The sequence below is a fragment of the Homo sapiens genome, chromosome 17, assembly GCF_000001405.40.
Source record: "Homo sapiens chromosome 17, GRCh38.p14 Primary Assembly".
NCBI classification, from domain to species: Eukaryota; Metazoa; Chordata; class Mammalia; order Primates; family Hominidae; genus Homo; species Homo sapiens.
Window position 1 is genome coordinate 75,687,041 of NC_000017.11, and position 17,823 is coordinate 75,704,863.

The 17,823-nt window shown below is 50.9% G+C and overlaps 1 protein-coding gene across 10 annotated transcripts in view, besides 4 other annotated features; it reads left to right on the forward strand.

Annotated features, from left to right (window-relative positions):
- Nucleotides 1-17,823, forward strand: part of SAP30BP (SAP30 binding protein) — a 40,722-nt gene that overhangs the window by 19,703 nt on the left and 3,196 nt on the right. For 4 of the 10 annotated variants that reach the window (XM_011524693.4, NM_013260.8, XM_011524694.3 and 1 more), the window contains 6 exons: nt 6,400-6,442; nt 12,743-12,831; nt 15,440-15,531; nt 16,271-16,331; nt 16,768-16,819; nt 17,716-17,774. In XM_011524693.4, coding sequence (XP_011522995.1) covers nt 6,400-6,442; nt 12,743-12,831; nt 15,440-15,531; nt 16,271-16,331; nt 16,768-16,819; nt 17,716-17,774 — 396 coding nt within the window. Of the gene's footprint in view, nt 1-3,630; nt 3,733-4,353; nt 4,496-6,399; nt 6,443-12,742; nt 12,832-15,439; nt 15,532-16,270; nt 16,332-16,767; nt 16,820-17,715; nt 17,775-17,823 lie in introns of those variants that run through there. The other 6 variants (XM_047435870.1, XM_047435871.1, NM_001301855.2 and 3 more) reach the window with 5 other exon arrangements.
- Nucleotides 1,095-1,596: an enhancer, noted in NCBI's record as "H3K27ac hESC enhancer chr17:73684215-73684716 (GRCh37/hg19 assembly coordinates)". NCBI's record gives its function as "activates a minimal SCP1, AML or CMV promoter by ChIP-STARR-seq in naive H9 embryonic stem cells {active_cell/tissue: H9 hESC(naive)}" and the evidence as "EXISTENCE:reporter gene assay evidence [ECO:0000049][PMID:30033119]".
- Nucleotides 1,597-2,096: an enhancer, noted in NCBI's record as "H3K27ac hESC enhancer chr17:73684717-73685216 (GRCh37/hg19 assembly coordinates)". NCBI's record gives its function as "activates a minimal SCP1, AML or CMV promoter by ChIP-STARR-seq in naive H9 embryonic stem cells {active_cell/tissue: H9 hESC(naive)}" and the evidence as "EXISTENCE:reporter gene assay evidence [ECO:0000049][PMID:30033119]".
- Nucleotides 9,967-10,678: an enhancer, noted in NCBI's record as "H3K4me1 hESC enhancer chr17:73693087-73693798 (GRCh37/hg19 assembly coordinates)". NCBI's record gives its function as "activates a minimal SCP1, AML or CMV promoter by ChIP-STARR-seq in primed H9 embryonic stem cells {active_cell/tissue: H9 hESC(primed)}" and the evidence as "EXISTENCE:reporter gene assay evidence [ECO:0000049][PMID:30033119]".
- Nucleotides 12,668-13,867: an enhancer, noted in NCBI's record as "MED14-independent group 3 enhancer chr17:73695788-73696987 (GRCh37/hg19 assembly coordinates)". NCBI's record gives its function as "activates an origin of replication core promoter dependent on BRD2, BRD4, P300/CBP and CDK7 cofactors, and independent of MED14, by STARR-seq in HCT116 cells {active_cell/tissue: HCT116}" and the evidence as "EXISTENCE:reporter gene assay evidence [ECO:0000049][PMID:35650434]".

Consider the following 17,823-nt stretch of genomic DNA (forward strand, 5'->3'; position numbering starts at 1 on the left):
GGATGGCATAGCAGTTGTTCTGAAGCAGCTGTATTGCCTGATGGTTAAGAGCACAGTTTCATGGGACTGTTGTGAAAAATGAGATTCTTAATTGAAGAGCTTAGCATAATACCTAAACTTATTCCCCTAGATTGAGTTTTCATATTTTATCCTCAATGCTTGGCCCATTGCTTGGTGTATAAATCATGCTCAATAAATTATCTGTGGAAAAAATAAATGAATTAACTATACAGTAATTATTTTTGTCTTAGGATTTAGGAGCATTAGGCCCAGTGTTCGGAAAGAGGATGCAGGGCCAGATGTGGTGGCTCACACCTGTAATCCCAGCATTTTGGGAGGCTGTGGCAGGAGGATTGCTTGAGCCTACGAGTTCAAGAGCAGCCTGGGCAACATAGTGAGACCCCATCTCTACAAAAAATTTAAAAATTAGCCAGCCATGGTGGTGCATGCCTGTAATCCCAGCTACTTGGGAGGCTGAGGCAAGAGAATTGCTTGAGCCCAGGAGGTCAAGGCTGCAATGAGCTATGATTGCGCCAGTGTACTCCAGCCTGTGTGACAGAGTGAGACCCTGTCTCAGGAAAAAAAAAAAAAAAAAGATGATGCAGAAAGATGAACAAAGAATTGGGTTTGAAATTTTTTTGTAATTCAGCGTTGGTGTCCCCTCCCCACCTTCTCCTGCCCCTTGGCAGACTTTTATTGCAAGCCTAGCCCTTTTGTTAGCTGCTCTTCTGCTGCCTGTCCGTCTGACATTTCTAGTGAATCTACACATGAAACTCACTGTGGAGTTGACCAGGCTGGGAGTCTGAAGTTAAAACATAACAGCTGAAGGTAGGTGTGGAACCTAAACTTGACAGAAGACAAACTGACAGTGTTTGGGGTGTGTGTGTGTGTGTGTGTGTGTGTGTGTGTGTGTGTGAGAGAGACAGAGAGAGGTCAGTGCTTGAGCACCTTCTGTGGACCAGGCTGACTATTAGACTTGGTGATTTTTGTGAGTACACAGAGTAGAGTAGTTTGTCTTCATCGGCCAGGTGAGCATGAGGGTAGAGGAAGGCTTCCCTGGGCTGGGCTGAGGCCTACACGGGGCTTTCTAGGCAGGAGTGGGGAGAAGGTGATTTCAGGGAGCAGGCATTGCAAAGATCCTGGGTGCAGAAAGGGGAGGAAGAGGCTGAAATGGGCAGCAGGGAATCCTCAAGGCTCGTGGGCCACAGTGAGGATCTGTTTTTAAGGAGCTATTGTGCTCGTGAAGTGAGATCTCATCAGGCCATGGGCTGTCCCAGGTCTGAGAGAATAAAGGTTTGAAAGGAGTCATTTTACTAATCTGCCTCCCTAGCTGCCACGTACTTGTAAGATGCAAGATTACATTGCCCAACAGGAAACCCCCAGTCTGTAGCATTCTTGCCTGTGGCCTCGGGGCTGGCTGCCCTGTGCCCCTGTTCAGAGTGCTTTCTCTGTGCCCGCTACTCCCGAAGCTGGAAAGAAAACATGACGTTTAGATTTGGTGGGATCTAGATGCTGGCGGCTGCCTTTGTGGAACTCAAGTTTGACACTGGAGCTTTGTGGGGCCGGTTCCAGGAAGGATTGAGGAAGCATTGTTGGCTGTAAATAAACCTCCATTCTCTTACTCAGGACTTGGTACTTCTCTGCTGAGTAAATCCTCCCAGCTCAAATGGCAGCTTGTCCAGTTTCGTGGGTCTATATTGTTGTTACTTCCTTCCTGCGCTCCAGTCAGCTTCATCAATGGCTGGACTTTTGTATTCTCTGCAGGAGGAACCATATTCCAGGTTCTGTAATTCTTGAGAACCAGGCCCCTGCCACTGACCTACAGTTGCATCTTCCAAGTCTCAGTCACAGTTGGTTAAGAAACCAAATTGGCAGGTTGAGATCACTATTCTTCTCCAGGGACAGCGCCCAGTGTGCCGCAGCCGCCTCCTGCTCTGGTTGTTGGGCCTTTAGTCTCAGGTGGGGTCTGGGTGGATGAGGGGTGCAGGCAGAGGAGGAGACCTCGGCTCAGATTGGTGTCCTCCACCAGCTCAGCGTTTAAACCATACTTCCTCTTTCCTCCTTTCTGTTTTCTAACTTGGCTTTTGTTTTTGTCTTTTCGTTTTTCCTTGTATCTTTTTTTTTTTTTTTTGGAGACAATCTTGCTCTTTCAGGCTGGAGTGCAGTGGCGCAATCTCGGCTCACTGCAACCTCCACCTCTCAAGTAGCTGGGATTACAGGCATGCACCACCATGCCCGGCTAATTTTTGTATTTTTAGTGGAGAGGAGGTTTTACCATGTTGTCCAGGCTGGTCCCAAACTCCTGGCCTCAAGTGATCTGCGCACCTCAGCCTCCCAACTCCCCCAGCCTGTTTTTCCTTGTGTCTTGATTGGAATTGAATGAGGGGGCTGAAGAGGTGGGCCTAGTCTTTTCTCCCAGGAGCAGCCTTCCTTTCCTAGGTGAGGTGCTTTGTTTTCACCTTCCTTAGGAACTGGGTGAAAAGCCCTCAGCCTGTTCTGGCTGTGTGTTGTTGCTCATGTCTCTGGGCTGCGGGTTCCATGCCCTCTGGCTGATGTAGACAGATGCCTGGTGACTAGACATCCAGGATGAGCTCATTACTTTAACCAACTGAGAATTTCTACCTGAAGGCCAGTGGGTGGATTCATACGAGTCAAGACAGGTGTTTCCTGTGCATTTCAAAACGCTGCTGGCGGGGAAGAGATGAACAGTGCTTTCTTGTTGCTTTTTGCTTGTATCCTCACAGCCCTTCTTTCCGCTTCCTGCCTCTTTAAGGGCATAGTGAGAATCTCCCCCAGAGCAGGTGGTTTAACACCAGTGCCTTGAACGACTGGCAGTTTAATAATCGAGCCTTTCTTCCGTCTCCTTAATTCTGTCATTTAAAATATTTCAGTGGGCGAGAGGTGACTTCTATCAATTAAAAGATTTCAATGGGAGGGAGGTGAGGAATGAAAAATTACCTACCGGGTACAGTGTTCACTTTCTGGGTGATGGGTACACTGGGAGCCCAAACCTTACTTATCATTACACAATAATATATCCATGTAACAGACCTGCACATATACCACCAAATCTAAAATAAAATACTTTTTTTTAAATTATAAAATAAATCGTTCATCACATGTTTTTTCTGACACATGGCTGGCTTCCATGATAACTGTCATGGGTGCTTGGTCCATTTTTCATACTAAATACCTCCTATCTGAGACATGACTGGTAAGAGGGCATCTCTTTAGGCCTGTCCTCCCTGTGGTGGAGGTCGTTATAGAGGCATATCATTACTGTTTGAATAGAGGTCACTTTTATTGGATGAAACTTGATTCAGTGGATGGTTGTGTGTAAATGGTACTAAAAAGCAGCTCTGGGGTATTTCAGGGTCTCCCTGTGTCACCCAGGCTGGAGTGCAGTGGCATGATCATAGCTCACTGCAGCTTTGACCTCCCAGACTCAGGTGATCTCTCCTCAGCCTCCCAAGTAGCTAGGACTACAGGCTGGTCTCAAACTCCTGGACTCAAGCAGTCAGGCCCACCTCAGCCTCTCAAAGTGCTGGGATTACAGGCGTGAGCCACTGCGCCTGACCAAGCGAGCACTTTAGGATCCAGAGAACTTAGGTTGTTGTCTTTCTTCTTTAGGAGAAGCTCGGCACAGTGACAGAGGCACCCAGGGCTCAGCAAGCTCATGGCCCAGCTTGTTGGACTCAGAGGGCAGAAGAATCACATTCTAAACATGATAAGGTATAGCCAGCAGGAGGCAGATTCCCAGATTGATTCTCCAGAGCCTTGTAGGTCCCAAGGGTGCCTATGACACCAATGGGAATCTGAACCAACACAGACAGCACAGTCTTCTTAGGAGACCCTAGTGCAGCAGCGCTGGCCTCCTCCTGAGCGTGCACGCTTATATGGCTTCTGAGCTGGCCAGGCTACTTCATGCATTTGGTTTAATGGGTCCTCGTAAGGCAGGAGAATCTTCTTGAACTTGGAGTTGGGTCTGTGGTCCATTGGTCAGTACTTTGTTCAGAGGCACTGAGGGTGGGAAGGCTCATGGAGCTGGATTCTGCTGCTGGGAAGCTGGGTGGGCCTTGTTTGTGGGCCTCAGGTTCAGGACTGAATGAGAGTCCTCTTGTTGCGAGTTGAGGGTGTACTCTGGGCATGCCATGCCCTTTTTTTGTACTAAGAGGGTAGAAAAGCAAAGACCAGACTAGTTGGCAAATTGGAACCCAACTACCCAGTTTATTTATTTCTTAGGCGTAGAAGGAATAATTTAGGGGGAACTGAAGAGCCAACCTAAAGGAAAAAAATAAAATAAAGGGATAAAATACTTCCTGTGATTTTGCCCCATCATCTCTTTTCTTCCAGAGACGTGACTCAACAACCTCAGCTGAGCCTGGCAGCACACACACCCCACACTCCTTTCCATCTCCAGGTTCACAAAAGCCACAAGAAGCCACGGGGAGGCTCCTGGCCTCTTACTTTACCTAAGGAGGCCCTGAAGTGGCAAGTGTGTTTCCCCTTGAAGAGCCATTGCATGTTTGGTGACTAACTTCCTGTGGCTTTGGGGTAGACATGGTAGACTCCTTGTGTGGGGATTGGGCCTCTGCAGTTGAGTCCATGAGAAGGGGTGGGTGTGGTATGGTGCGGAGCCTTGGGGAAGGGTGAGTGGGGGCTGGAGGGAGAGTTAACGAATGGTCAGTCCCTGTATGATCAGCCAGCTGGCGGGTGAGGGAGGAGCTGATGTTTTCCTACAATCAGCACCCAGAAAGCTGTTCTCTAGAGGGAAAATGTGAGGGCATTTTACAGTCCCATGTATTGTTACTAACACTCTTGAACACTGGTTTCCTGAGAGTCACTGCTACAAAGGGATTGTTGGTCCCCTGAGAGACTGGCAGTCTCTATAGGGCTGCTGATTTATGACTGCGGCAGTCTCTATAGAGCCGCTGATTTATGACTGCAACCTGAAGTTGGTGTGGCAGTCCTCCAGGCGCGCCTCCCTGCCTGCTCCCAGCCTCCTCTTTGCCCACCTGATTGGCAGGGGGCAGTGGCTCGAAGAGATGGGTTGCTAAGCAGCCTGGCCTGGACGTGGTGCCCTGCCAGGTTGAATGAATAGCTGCAGTGTTCTGAGGAATGGGGAATTTGGCCTGTCCCAGCATCAGGAGGGACTTTCTGGAAAGGGGGCTAAGACTGAGTCTAGGTTCAGTGTGGGGAACTGGGTGGCCTTCCTGGCACCTTCCTTTTGGAGCCGTGGCGTGGTGTGCCATGTCTGTGTAAGTGGAGCCTGCGGAGCTCTGCACCTGTCCTCGAAAAGGTCTTGTTGCAGGGTCTTCCTGTCTCATCTCCTCCCTCACTCATCAGCAGGAAAAGACATGGCGTCCAGCAACTTTCTGTGAACTCTGCCTCTGCTGTTTTGATGATGAGCACGTGTGGCCCTTGAGATTGTTGATCTAACTGGCTTTGAGGGGCTGGGTGTCAGCAACCCAGAAATGGGGGAAACAGGTGTGTTCTTGCCATTTTACACTTGAGACAATGGAGGCAAGGGAAGACTTGTGACGGAGGGCTTGGACCGTGGCTTTCTCAGCATTGATTTTGGTTTAGATGAAACATTTACTACAGAACAGTGAAATCCAGAAAACGTCTAAGAAGCCTTTGCTCTCAGGTTTCTGCAGGACATGTGGATGTAGCTGTCATGGGACACTGTTTGCATTAGGGATTGGAGGAAGCTTTTCTTTGGAGGGAGTATAAAGCCAGTGTAAAGGGAGCTGAGAGCCAGAGAGAGGCTTCCTTGAGCCTGGGGCCTCTCTGGGATCCCCATTCTGCCACTTATTAAAGGTTTGCTGCATGCTTGCTCTGAGGTTCCATGAGCTGCCCCTTTATCCTCATGATGAAGCCTCCCTTCTTTGAACTAAAAATAAGAAGAGTATCTTGGGAGCAGCTAGTCTGCATTTTCATCTCGGGAGTCTGCTGTTACAAAGCAGTCACCTCTTGCTTCCTTGGTACCAGCGGTAGAGGTGGTGATGTCTGGGCTGGCCGGGCCCTTGAGCTCTGCACTCCATTCAGGCAAGCTTCCTCAGACCCAGGGGAGAGCAACAGGCAGGGTATACGTTGCCCAGTTGGCTGCAGCAGGCTTGCTGGCTTGTGTTCTCCTCAGCGATGGTGGGTTTGGTCACTGAAAAGGCATGGAGGAGAGACCGGCGTGGGGCTCGGGAGCATCCGGCTGCTGCGATGCGGGAAGAAGAGGGTTCGGAGGCTCGGGGGTGCCAGAGGCCCCTGAAGCATCAGCTTACCCTTAGTGTTCCTGGCAGTGCTTTTACTTTTTCTCCTTCCTTAAAAATCCTGAGTGGTCTCAGTAGAGAGTAGCTGGTTCAGGAGCCCCAGTCTTACCTCCTCGTATTTGTTTGTCTTTTGCAGGATAATACAGAAGCAGAAAAGCGAGACCCCCAGGAACTCGTGGGTGAGTATTGGGGGATCCTGGGGGCACGTTTCTCAGCCTTGCTCCTAGCAGCCTGGCTTCCAGCCATGCCAGGCCTGCCGCCCCACAGGGCTTCTGTCTGCTGTGAGCACTGTTGTCCCTTTGGCTCCCTCTCAGGGCTTTGGCATTTCCTAGGATGCCCGGGTGAGACGTCCAGGGAACAGTTCTTCTTTGGAAATCATATTTGTGGTGTGTTTTAATGGGCTTTGGTCGGTTGCCAGCGCTGTCAAGAGGGAATTCAGGGCACTCAGCTGGGAGCGTGTCTTGGTCTCTGCTTCCCCTAGTGCCCTGGGCTTGTCCTCTGTCTTTGCAACCCCTCCTCCCCCTCTCCGCTGGCATATGCATGCTGCTCAGGGAGTCAGCATGTGGCCTCTGCTGGCACTTTGCTCTGTCCCCAGGCAGGAACATGCCTCACAGCCCTGGAGTCTGGGGCTCTTTGTGATTTGGGAGGAGCAGGGACACTATGTTTCTGGAAAACAGCATACATCATCCAAGTCCTGTGCTAGCCCCAGCCTTTTAATCCTTTTAGAAAGCCCCCCAGCTCCTTTCACGTGGCTCCCAAAGCCCGACCGGGGGGCAGTTCCCGGCATCTGAGTCAGAGCTCTTGGTGGGGTTGGCCCTCCCTCTCTGTGGCAACCATTACCAGCTCTCCTGTCCGTCCTGCTGATCTTCACAAACAGGCTCCTGCCTCCTGCGGTCTTGCCTCGGTGGCTCACTGACTCCAGCCCTGGGGGTTCTGAGCCCAGGGACCACCTGGAAGCGCTGCCCCAGTAGTCAGTCCTTCCCACCCAGGCTTCCTCCCAGTAGGGCCTTTCTGCTGGGAGTTCTGCTACAAAGCCTGTTCTCCTTTTCCAGAACTAAAGGAGCTAGGAATCGTTCATTCTATTTGTCTTTTGAAGAAGGATTGGGTGGGAACACGGTAACGCTGAGCAGCCCAGACCCTCAGCAGGAGGGCCTTAATCCCTGGCCTCTCTGATGGAGTTTCAGTCTTTCAAATCCTATAAAAACCAAGATTTTCCTAAAACCTAGAGTTTCTTCTTTAGAAAGTGACGCCTTAGGGGTGCAACATTTGGCTTTGAGGGCAGAGGAAGCAGAGTGTGCATCTGCTGGGAAGCCGATGGCCGGCCCAAGGGGGCGATCCACGGGTCGGGCGTGGACGGGAGCCTTGGCCTCTTATCCCCGCCATCACCCGAGCCGACCCTGCTGTTTACTGTGAGAAACTACACGGCTGGGGATCAGAGAGCAGCCTGTCACGTGCCAACGCAGAGATGCCCTTGCTCTTGCTAGTAGTGCTGGGCAGGCAGTGGAATGTGTGTGGGCATCAGCCATCTCAGCCCCCAGTTGCTTCCAGAGCCAACTTGTCACTTTTTCTCCCTGTGCCACTTTTTGGAAATAGCTTTATTGAGGTATAATTTACATAGAGTAAGACTTGCCAATTTTACGTGTGCCATTTTATGAATTTTGACAAATGTGTATAGTTGTGTTAGCCCCACCACAATTGTGATACAGAACGCACCCATCACTCCGAAATGTTCCCTTGTGCCCCGACCGTGTTACAGGTGATTCCCTCCCTCAGCCTCAGGCAAGCTGTGATCTACACTCTCCTCACTATAGCTTTGCCTTTCTTTAGAATTTCCTATAAATCAGGATCTCCCCACCCTGGCCCTACTGACACTTAGGGCTGGATGAGTCTTTGTTGTGGGGCTGTCCTGTGCTTTGCAGGGTGTTTAGCAGTGTCCTTGGTCTCTACCCACTACGTGCCAGAGGCACTCTCCCTTCCCCAGATGTGACAGTGATCAATGTCTCCAGACATTGCCAAATGTCCCCTTGGGGCAGAATCACCCCTAGTTAAGAACCAGGGATAGAAAGGGAACTAGTGTTTTTGTCTGGCTTCTTTCACTCAGCACGGTGCTTGCAAGACTCATCCATGTAGTTGGGCATGTCCAGAGTTTCTTTTTGTAGCCAAGTAATATTTCACTGTAGGGATACACCACAGTTTGTTTACTGATTCACCCATGAGGACACAAATGGATCTTTAAGCGGCATCGTTTTGATTACTCACCATTCCTCATTGACGAGTAGCTAGTTTAGTTCCTCTTACTGAAGACGTAATTAGTTGAAGGACAGTGGCTTCCATTCATGATGCAGTGCCTGTCAGCCCCTCTACCTAAGCTTTTGTCCACTCTGGTGTCAGGACTCAGGTTGCTTACCAGGTATGGGAAGTGTGTCCATGCATGTAGACAGCCCCAGCTTTTAGAGAACAAGCAGGAGAGCAGAGAAGCCAAACCACAGGCATCTGCAGCACTGCAGCCCCTTGACAGAGCCGAGCATGCACACCCTGTCTGTGCCCTCCAGGGCCTCGCAGATGCCCACGGCTGAGCCTGGAGCAGTGGTGCTGGTGTGGCAGTGCACGTGGGTTCTCTCTGTCACTCAGGAGCTGGAGATACTCCACCGTCCCCTGGGGCCCCCCAGCTCGCTCACTCCCTGCCATCCCATAAGCCCGTCCAACTAGCTGTTCCTGCACAGATCCCTCCCTGGCAGCTGTGGGTACTCTGGGTGTTTTCTGACTTGGGCACGCACCAGGGCAAGTCACGCTGACAGCTGGCTTCTCAAGTCCTAAGTGCGGCTGCCTCTGAGAACACACCCATCAGACCCAGGCAGCAGCCACAGACCCAGCGCTGCTTCCAAGAGACTGTGGACACATCGCTTTACTGGCTTGAGGCTCTGTCTGCTTACAAGAAATGTGGGGCTCAGCTGGTCGCAGTGGCTCATGCCTGTCATCCCAGCACTTGGGGAGGCTGAGGCGGGCAGATCACGAGGTTGGGAGTTCAAAAGCAGCCTGGCCAGCGTGGTGAAACCCCATTTCTACTAAAAATCCAAAAAAAAAAAAAAAATTAGCCAGGCATGGTGGTACTTGCCTATAGTCCAAGCTACCCGGGAGGCTGAGGCAAGAGAACTGCTTGAACCTGGCAGGTGGAGGTTGCAGTGAGCCGAGATAACACCATTGCACTCCAGTCTGGGCGACATAGCGAGACTCCATCTCAATTAAAAAAAAAAAAAAGAAAAGAAACAGAAATGTGGGGTTCAAGTCTTCCACATTAGATTCATTCCAGGACTCAGAAGGGAGAGGACCACTGAAAGATTGCTTCCAAACTCTGTGTTGTACACTTCTATCTAGTTTTCCCGAATGTGTTCCTTTATTTGCCAGTTACTTCCTAGGAATTATCTTGTTTCAAGCCCTGGACTGAGGAGGGGCTCCCCTCCTCTTTTTTTTTTTTTTTTTTTGGAGACGGGGTCTGGCTTTGTCACCCAGGCTGGAGGGGCTGGAGTGCAGTGGTGCAATCTCGGCTCACTGTAAGCTCCGCCTCCTGGGTTCACACCATTCTCCTGCCTCAGCCTCCCGAGTAGCTGGGACTACAGGCGCCCACCACCACACTTGGCTAAATTTTTGTATTTTTAGTAGGGATGGGGTTTCACTGTTTTAGCCAGGATGATCTCGATCTCCTGACCTTGTGATCCGCCCGCCTCGGCCTCCCAAAGTGCTGGGATTACAGGTGTGAGCCACCGCGCCCGGCCCCTCCTCTTACACTGTACACCATGTGAGCCCCAGAGTGTGGCTGGGTTGCTGTGGCAACAGGGTCACACCCTGTTTTTCCAAAGGCTTTCCTGGCAAATGCCAAAGGGCACTCTTTGTCTCTCTGTCACAAGCACAGATAGGTTCTCTCCAGCCCAGGGAAGAAGTTAACCCTGCTTGTTTATGTGCCTAGCGCCTGCCAAGGCCCTCCTTGCTTTTGTTGTTGCTGCTTGTGAGATAGGACCAGCTCCCCCCAGCTGATTCCACTCTCCACCAGCTTCTGCAACCTCAGCCTTGGCACTTTCACCTATTCCAGGGCTGGGAAGAAGGAGGAAGTTAGAGGAGACTTGAATTCCAGCCATATCTGGGTTTCACCTTTGCTTGAGGAGTCAGGAGACCAAAGGAAGGTGCTGGGCAAAGAGAAGCACCTCGTCTCCTGCTCTTGGGCTGCACTGGCATCTGGGGCCCACAGCAGGACCTCTGATCAATGTATCACCCAGTCTCTGTCCTCTTGCCGTCACCTAAAATGGCAGATTAGTGCTCTGTTCTTGGGGCGCTTCCAGTGAGAATCCACTGACAACAGTGAAAATCAACACATGAAGTCATGTTTTTAGGATGGCCCCAGGCTCGACTCCTGTCTCAGTGTATTTGCAGTCGGCATAGGCTTATCCTGCAGCAGCTGGACTGGCAGAGTCTGGGAGCCTTGTCCCCAGCCCTCCTTGGCACTGTGTTCTTTACAGTAACTGAAACTCCAGGCAGAGATCAAAGCACCTTGTCTACTAAGCAAACATTAACCCAGCATGGGGAGAGGAGAAGGGGCTGGCTGTGCGAAGCCAGCCGGGCAGCTCAGCAGTGGGTTAGCTGGGGCCTGCACACAGTAGGTGCTCAGTAAGTGCTTGCTGAGTGTTACTGGTGTTTTGTTCATTCTTTCTCTTCATCCTGCCCCACCCTGCCCTGGCTGCTCTTTGCTCATTGTATGATCCTTTTCATGAGAGAGTGTTTTGAAGAGCGCAGACAGAATCTTAACAAATAGCGCATTGTCCCAGCGATCCAAAGCAGGACTGCAGTGCCGGGGTGGCCCAAGGCTGCGGGGAAGAGGCTGGAGAGAGCAAGGCCTGCCGGACAGTGGCAGATCTCTAAGGAAATTGTCCCCTGGGGGTTGTGGTTCTTCCCATCAGAATCAGGCCTTTTGTTCTCAGGAATGAGGTGGGCTAAGAGAGAGTTGATTGGTTTATTTTTAAAAGATCCTCAGCTGATAATGGTAAAAAGTATCATTTATACACAAGGCCATTTTGTTTACTTTGGGACCCAAAACTTAGGGAACCCTGAATTCTGTTTCTCCTGTAGCCTAGGCAGGTCAGCCTTAGACGAGACGGGTGGCCCCAAGCACCTCTGAGTTTCCAAAATCTTGCAAGTATTTTAGAGACATATGCAGTGGTGGCTGGAGCTGGTTTACAGACATATGCAGTGGTGGCTGGAGCTGGTTTACAGACATATGCAGTGGTGGCTGGAGCTGGTTTACAGACATATGCAGTGGTGGCTGGAGCTGGTTTACAGACATATGCAGTGGTGGCTGGAGCTGGTTTACAGACATATGCAGTGGTGGCTGGAGCTGGCTCATGTTGTGAGCCTATTGTGTACATCTCTTCCCAGCCTTGAGTTCAGTGACTTCACCTTGGTAGCTTGAAATTGGCCATGGCAGGAGAATTTACACCACAAGAAATGGCAAATGCCACAGATCATGGCGCCTCCCTGCTTCCCCATCCCCACGCCCAGCTGGTCATTAAACATTTACCAGCACACTGCTGACTCTTTCCTTAAAAGTTAACCATTGTGGGCCAGGCACAGTGGCTCATACCCATAATCCCAGCACTTTAGGAGGCTGAGGCTGGAGGATGGCTTGATCCAACAGTTCAAGACCAGCCTGGGCAACATAACGAGACCCCATCTTTACAAAAACTTTTAAGATTAGTCAGGCATGGTGGCATGCACCTGTAGTCCTAGCTACTCAGGAGGCTGAGACAGGAGTTCGAGGTTGCAGTGAGATATGATTGTACCACTACGCTCTAGCCTGGGTTACAGAGTAAAACCCCCATCTCTTTGTTTTATTTTTTTATTTCATTTTATGTATTTTATTTTCCTTTTTGAGACAAGAGTCTTACTTTGTCACCCAGGCTGGAGTATAGTGGCGTGATCTTGGCTCACTGCAGCCACCACCTTCGGGTTCAAGCAATTCTAGTTCCTCAATAGCTGGGTTTACAGGCATGCATCACCATGCCAGTTGCTTTTGTATTTTTAGTAGAGACGGGGTTTCGCCATGTTGGCCAAGCTGGTCTAGAACTCCTGACCTCAAATGATCTGCCTACCTTGGCTTCCCAAAATGTTGGGAGTATAGGCGTGAGCCACCGCACCCAGCTGACCCCGTCTCTTTAAAAAAAAAAAAAAAAACGGAAAAGTTAACTGCTGTATACATTTATTCCCTCTGCCTGAACTTTTCTTCTCCCAAGCTGGCACATGGCCCACCCCTTCCGGTCATTCAGTCTCAGCTCAGATGACACCTCAGAGAGGCCACATCCGAACACTCAGTTGTACTGTTTTCATAGTGTTTATCCCTACCTGATAACATTTTATGTGCTTATGTTTTTTTGTCCATGTCTGTCCCTTGTTCTAATCCCCACCTACAGAATTTTTCCTTCTTCTCTCAACAGCCTCCTTTTCTGAAAGAGTTCGGAACATGTCGCCTGATGAAATCAAGATCCCGCCAGAACCCCCTGGCAGATGTTCAAATCACTTGCAAGTAAGCATGAGACTCGGCTACTGAGGTCGGATAGATTAGATAGCCTGGGTTACGTGTTTGGTTTGGTCTTAATCTTAAGAGACCATGGCAGGGAAAGGGACTGAGGCTTCTATAAAAGAAACTGACAGGTGGGAAGGATCCCACAGTCCACTTTACCTCCTGTTAGCCTCATCTCAGGAGTTGGCTCCTACACCCACCGCCATGTCCCGTGGTGCTGCTCCAGCAGGGCGGCCCTGTCTTGCCTTCAGTGAAGTCCTAAGCAGAGACAGAGAAAAGAACGTAACCTTTTCTGTGCAGCCCTACTGGGCCAGTGGTAGCTTCTCAGAAAGAGCTTTGCTAAGAAACTGAGGAACCCTCAGAATGTAAAATAAATTACAGAAATGAAAAAGTCACAGGCATTATATGTATACATTTTCTATCCTAATCTATTTCTAAAATGCTGATTCAGTAGCTTCTTCCCTGACAGAATGTGCAGCCCTGACTGGAGGTTTTGAAATCCCAAGGAGTCGAGGCTTTTGTGCAGTTACACTCCCTGGGGGGACAGCTAGGGTTCAGCCCGTGGCTCTCCTTGTCCCTCTGTGGGTTCCCTTGTGATGAACAATAGAACAGGCACCCAAGGCTGCACAATCATGGCTCCTGGACCACCTGCTTCACCTTTGATCCTGGAGCTCCCACTGGGTGCCTCTGGCTACACAGCAAGCCCGTGACACCGCCCTAACGGATGGATGACTAATGGGACCTGAGGCTAAGGAATGCAGCAAGCTAGGGGAGGGCCAGAGCAGGACTGGGGGTGCAGCACAGATTCCCTTCCCTTCCCGGAAGTCTCCTCCCATTGCTGGGTCGTCTCCCCACCACCGCCCTCCAGAATCACGTCACCCTCCGTGCCAGACAACCAGACAACAAGCTCCAGCCTGTAAGGACGACTCCAGCAACCCGCCAGGCAGAGACAAACGGCGCACAGCATACAGTGCCAATTGTGCCTCCTCTTTAGACCCTCCTGATGGTGGAAACCATGACATTCGAGCAAACATTTTAGTTCATCTTGAGTAGTAGAACTGATCTTATGGCCCAGGAGACACAGCCAAGTCATCTGTATGACATGGGTTCTCCTCAAGTTGCCAAGCCTTCTGTATATGGCTCCCTCCATGACCCTGGAGGAGACAGCTTGGAGGACAGAGGTTCTTCAGTCTCGGCTGAAGTCACAGACCTCTCTCTGCAGTTCAGCTCTGCTCTGGCCAGTCTTGGTAGAAAGATTTGGCCTCTAACAAGGGGAGTGGATCACCCCTCCTGACGTGTCCTAAATGTTGTCATGTGGGCCCTCCAGGCCTGCCCACCTGCTTTTGCCGGCACAGTGCCTCAGATGTTTCCCTTCTGGAGAATCTATATTTAACCCCCACTGCAGGGGGAGGCTGCAGGTAGATCTTGCCCTGGGCCAGTGCCCGCCTTCCTTGCTAAGACTGCTCTTTCTAGAGGTGGCTCTGCCATGACACTCTGGTGTCTTGGCCCTCTTCATTGGCACTGGGTCATGCTGATGCCGTCTACTTTGGGCATCATGTCCATGGGCTGGGCAGGACCCCCTTCCTGAGGACGCCTGTGGCACTGGCCACAGTAGGTAAGCCTGGATCCCCCGAGGTGGTTCTCCACTCTCCCATCGAAAGCCAGGGCAGTGACCTGTGGGGGAGTTTGGGTGAGAGATAAGCAGTTAACCCTTGATGCCCTCGATAAACCAGCGCGGACCAGCCACCTGTGAGCCTCCCCATAAAAGACACATTCTAAAAAGTTTGCAAGACCGAATCCAAAAAACTCTATTCCCGCCTCCCGTTAAAAGGACATAGCCCTTCCGAAGTCTCCTGTGGCTCACAGTTCTGCTGAGGACTTGATCTCATGTTAAAATTGAAAACCAGGATTTAGTCCCTGCGTATCAACACCAACCCCTAAACCCTACTTCGGATGATTCTGGAACTGATTAACCAGTTGGGGCTTTGTTCATTATTTTCTCTATGGCTCCTCTGCTGTGTGATCTTTTCACTGCTCACTATACTGTCATCCAGAGAGCGTCAGGAAACCTCAGCAGTGAAAGCAGCCTGGTCTCGGTTTATCTTACTTGTGTGCAGTTCTGGGCAAAGGCAGGGTGGAGAAAGAGAATAGATTAATTTTTTGTTTTGTTTTGTCGAGACAGTCTCACTGCATCACCAGGCTGGAGTGCAGTGGCATGATCTCAGCTCACTGCAACCTCCACCTCCCAGGTTCAAGCTATTCTTCTGCCTTAGCTTCCCAAGTAGCTGGGACTACAGGCTTGCCCCACCACACCCAGCTAATTTTGTTTGTATTTTTAGTAGAGATGGGGTTTCAACATGTGGGCCAGGATGGTCTCAATCTCTGGACCTCGTGATCCACCCGCCTCAGCCTCCCAAAGTTCTGGGATTACAGGCGTGAGCCACCGTGCCTGGCTGAGGATAGGTTAAATTTTAACATGAGGTCAAGTTGGGCTTTGCCTGACTGGAGCCTCATGTTCATGCTGCACATGTAGCTGGTGACCAGGGGCTGGGACGGTGGAGGGGTGGGCTTCTGTCATACACCCCCCCACCCCCTCTGCTCCTCTTCACAGGACAAGATCCAGAAGCTTTATGAACGAAAGATAAAGGAGGGAATGGATATGAACTACATTATCCAAAGGAAGAAAGAATTTCGGAACCCTAGGTAAGTTTCCCTTGAGCCTGCAGAGTTTATTGAGTTATTAATGTTGGACTAAGGACTAAGACGTCCCCAAGGAGGTGGTGAGGAAAAGCCCAGAGCCCAAACCATCACCCAGACTTGTCATTACACTGAGTGCCTGCTGGACATGGCGGACTGTGCTAACCCAGCCAGAGGCTTGCCATTTAAGATCCAGAAAAAACACAAAGCAATTCATACCGAGACCTAGACGGGGATGAGGGAGACCTGGCTGAGTTCTCGTCCCTGCTCTGAGCCTAAAGCACATGACCTCTCAAGTCCCCTGTCCTCATGGAAGGAATTGGACTAGACAATTACTGTAGGTTCATCTTCCAACTCTAAAAAGCTGATTTTTGCATATAGGTGAGAGGTCTTAGGACCAGAGCGATGTCTGGTCTTCCTCCATTGAATGTTCAAGCTAGTGACATACAGGGAAAAGAGCATGGCCCTTGTGTGGGTCTGAGTGTGGTAAGCCCAATCCAGCTGTGCAGACTGAAGGTCAGTGAGACAAAACTCAGCCGTCACCTTGACCCTGTGCTCCTCCCGGCCCCTAGCTAACAGGTCCATCTCCCTGGGAGAGTGGAGGGCCATCAGGAAGCTTGCTTAGAGCAGCTGAGCTGGATTTAAAAGTTGTGAAGGTTTTGTGTCAGCCCCAGGAGCTGGATGGTTCAGGTCCCATGCAGGGACGTGGACTTGTGCCTGCTCAGCGCCGGCACTGTTCTTTCAGCATCTACGAGAAGCTGATCCAGTTCTGTGCCATTGACGAGCTTGGCACCAACTACCCAAAGGTGCGTCTGGCACACGGGGCTGGAGGGTGATGGGGACACCCAGGGTCCTTTGCTTGTTCCATGGGATTTGACCTGCAGCCACAGAAAGGTCCACGTGGTGGCACGGCTCGTTGAAAGCACAGTCCCTGTCTCTTTTGTTTGAGTCCCTATTGTTCTGAAATAGTCCAATAAAGAGATTCCGGTGGCCGGCCTGGTGCCTGGCCCCTGACTGGTGGGGACATGTGTGGACCTGCTGCTCCTGGGGTTCGCTGGATGGGGGCTTCGTGCTCCCATGTTCTTCAGCACTTGCCAGCCGCCCCTTGGCTAAAGACCAAAGATGACAGCCGAGCCCCGGGTAAGGGGACCCCAGACCAAGAAGCTCTATGGGAAGACTTGGGCCAGGAACTTGGGTTTCTGAGTCATTTGTCATCTGAGTCATTCGCCTTTTCCTTTGCAGGATATGTTTGATCCCCATGGCTGGTCTGAGGACTCCTACTATGAGGCATTAGGTAGCCTTTCGTCCCTCCTCCCATATACCTTGTCCGCCCACCCGACTGTCCCTTTATCCAGTCAGTTGGTTATCCAGGTGACACATATTTCAGGGTCTACTCTATGTCAGGCCATGTTCAAGGGGGCTGGGTACAGGCCTGAATGAGACAGACCCACCCCTGCCTTAAGAGGCTTATGCCACAGCAAAGAAGATGGAACGTCACGCCAGTAACGCCAGCATCGATGAGTGTTGGTGATGACGGAGTTGCTGGGTACAGGGGAGCTTTGGCAAGCAGGGTCATCTAATCTGGCCAAAGGGATGGGAAGGCCTCACTGACAAAACTGTGTTCAAGCTGAGGTTTGAAGAGGCAGAGGGGCCAGGCAGGTGTAGGCAGAATGTTCTGAGGCCAGTGAGAGGATGGCTTTTTCTTAAGATACCAGTTTGGGAGCACTGGGAGAAATGTCAAAGGGCCCAAACCCCTAGACCATAGGTCTTAAGCCTGCAGCCCATGGCCCAGATCTTGGCCTGTAGAGGTGCTTTGTTTGGCCTTCATGAATTTTGTCATCTTTTAATTTGAATTCATTGCCAACATTTTATATAATCTCTGATTCCAGCTTCTCTCCATCAGTAGGAGGGTAGTCCCCATTGGGCCTGTATTCCCGTGTGTGGCAGTCCACAGGAGCTCAGGAGTAGCTGACCCTTCCGGGCACACACAGGGCATGCAGCCCGCCAGTCTGGAGCTGAAGGCCCCTGCCCTATGCCGACCAAGGGCTGGCTTCATTTTGCCAAGCACAAAGAACACTGAGCCCATGAAGGCCTTTAGCCCGCTGAAAAGAACGCAGGGATCAGAGTAGGCTCCCTCAGCCCAGAGCTGCTCGGGGGCCACCTTTGTAACAGCTTCTCTTGTCTTCATAGCCAAGGCCCAGAAAATTGAGATGGACAAATTGGAAAAGGCCAAAAAGGAGCGAACAAAAGTAAGTGATGGCAGACCTCCTAGATGAAAAAGGCACATGTGGAGTGCAT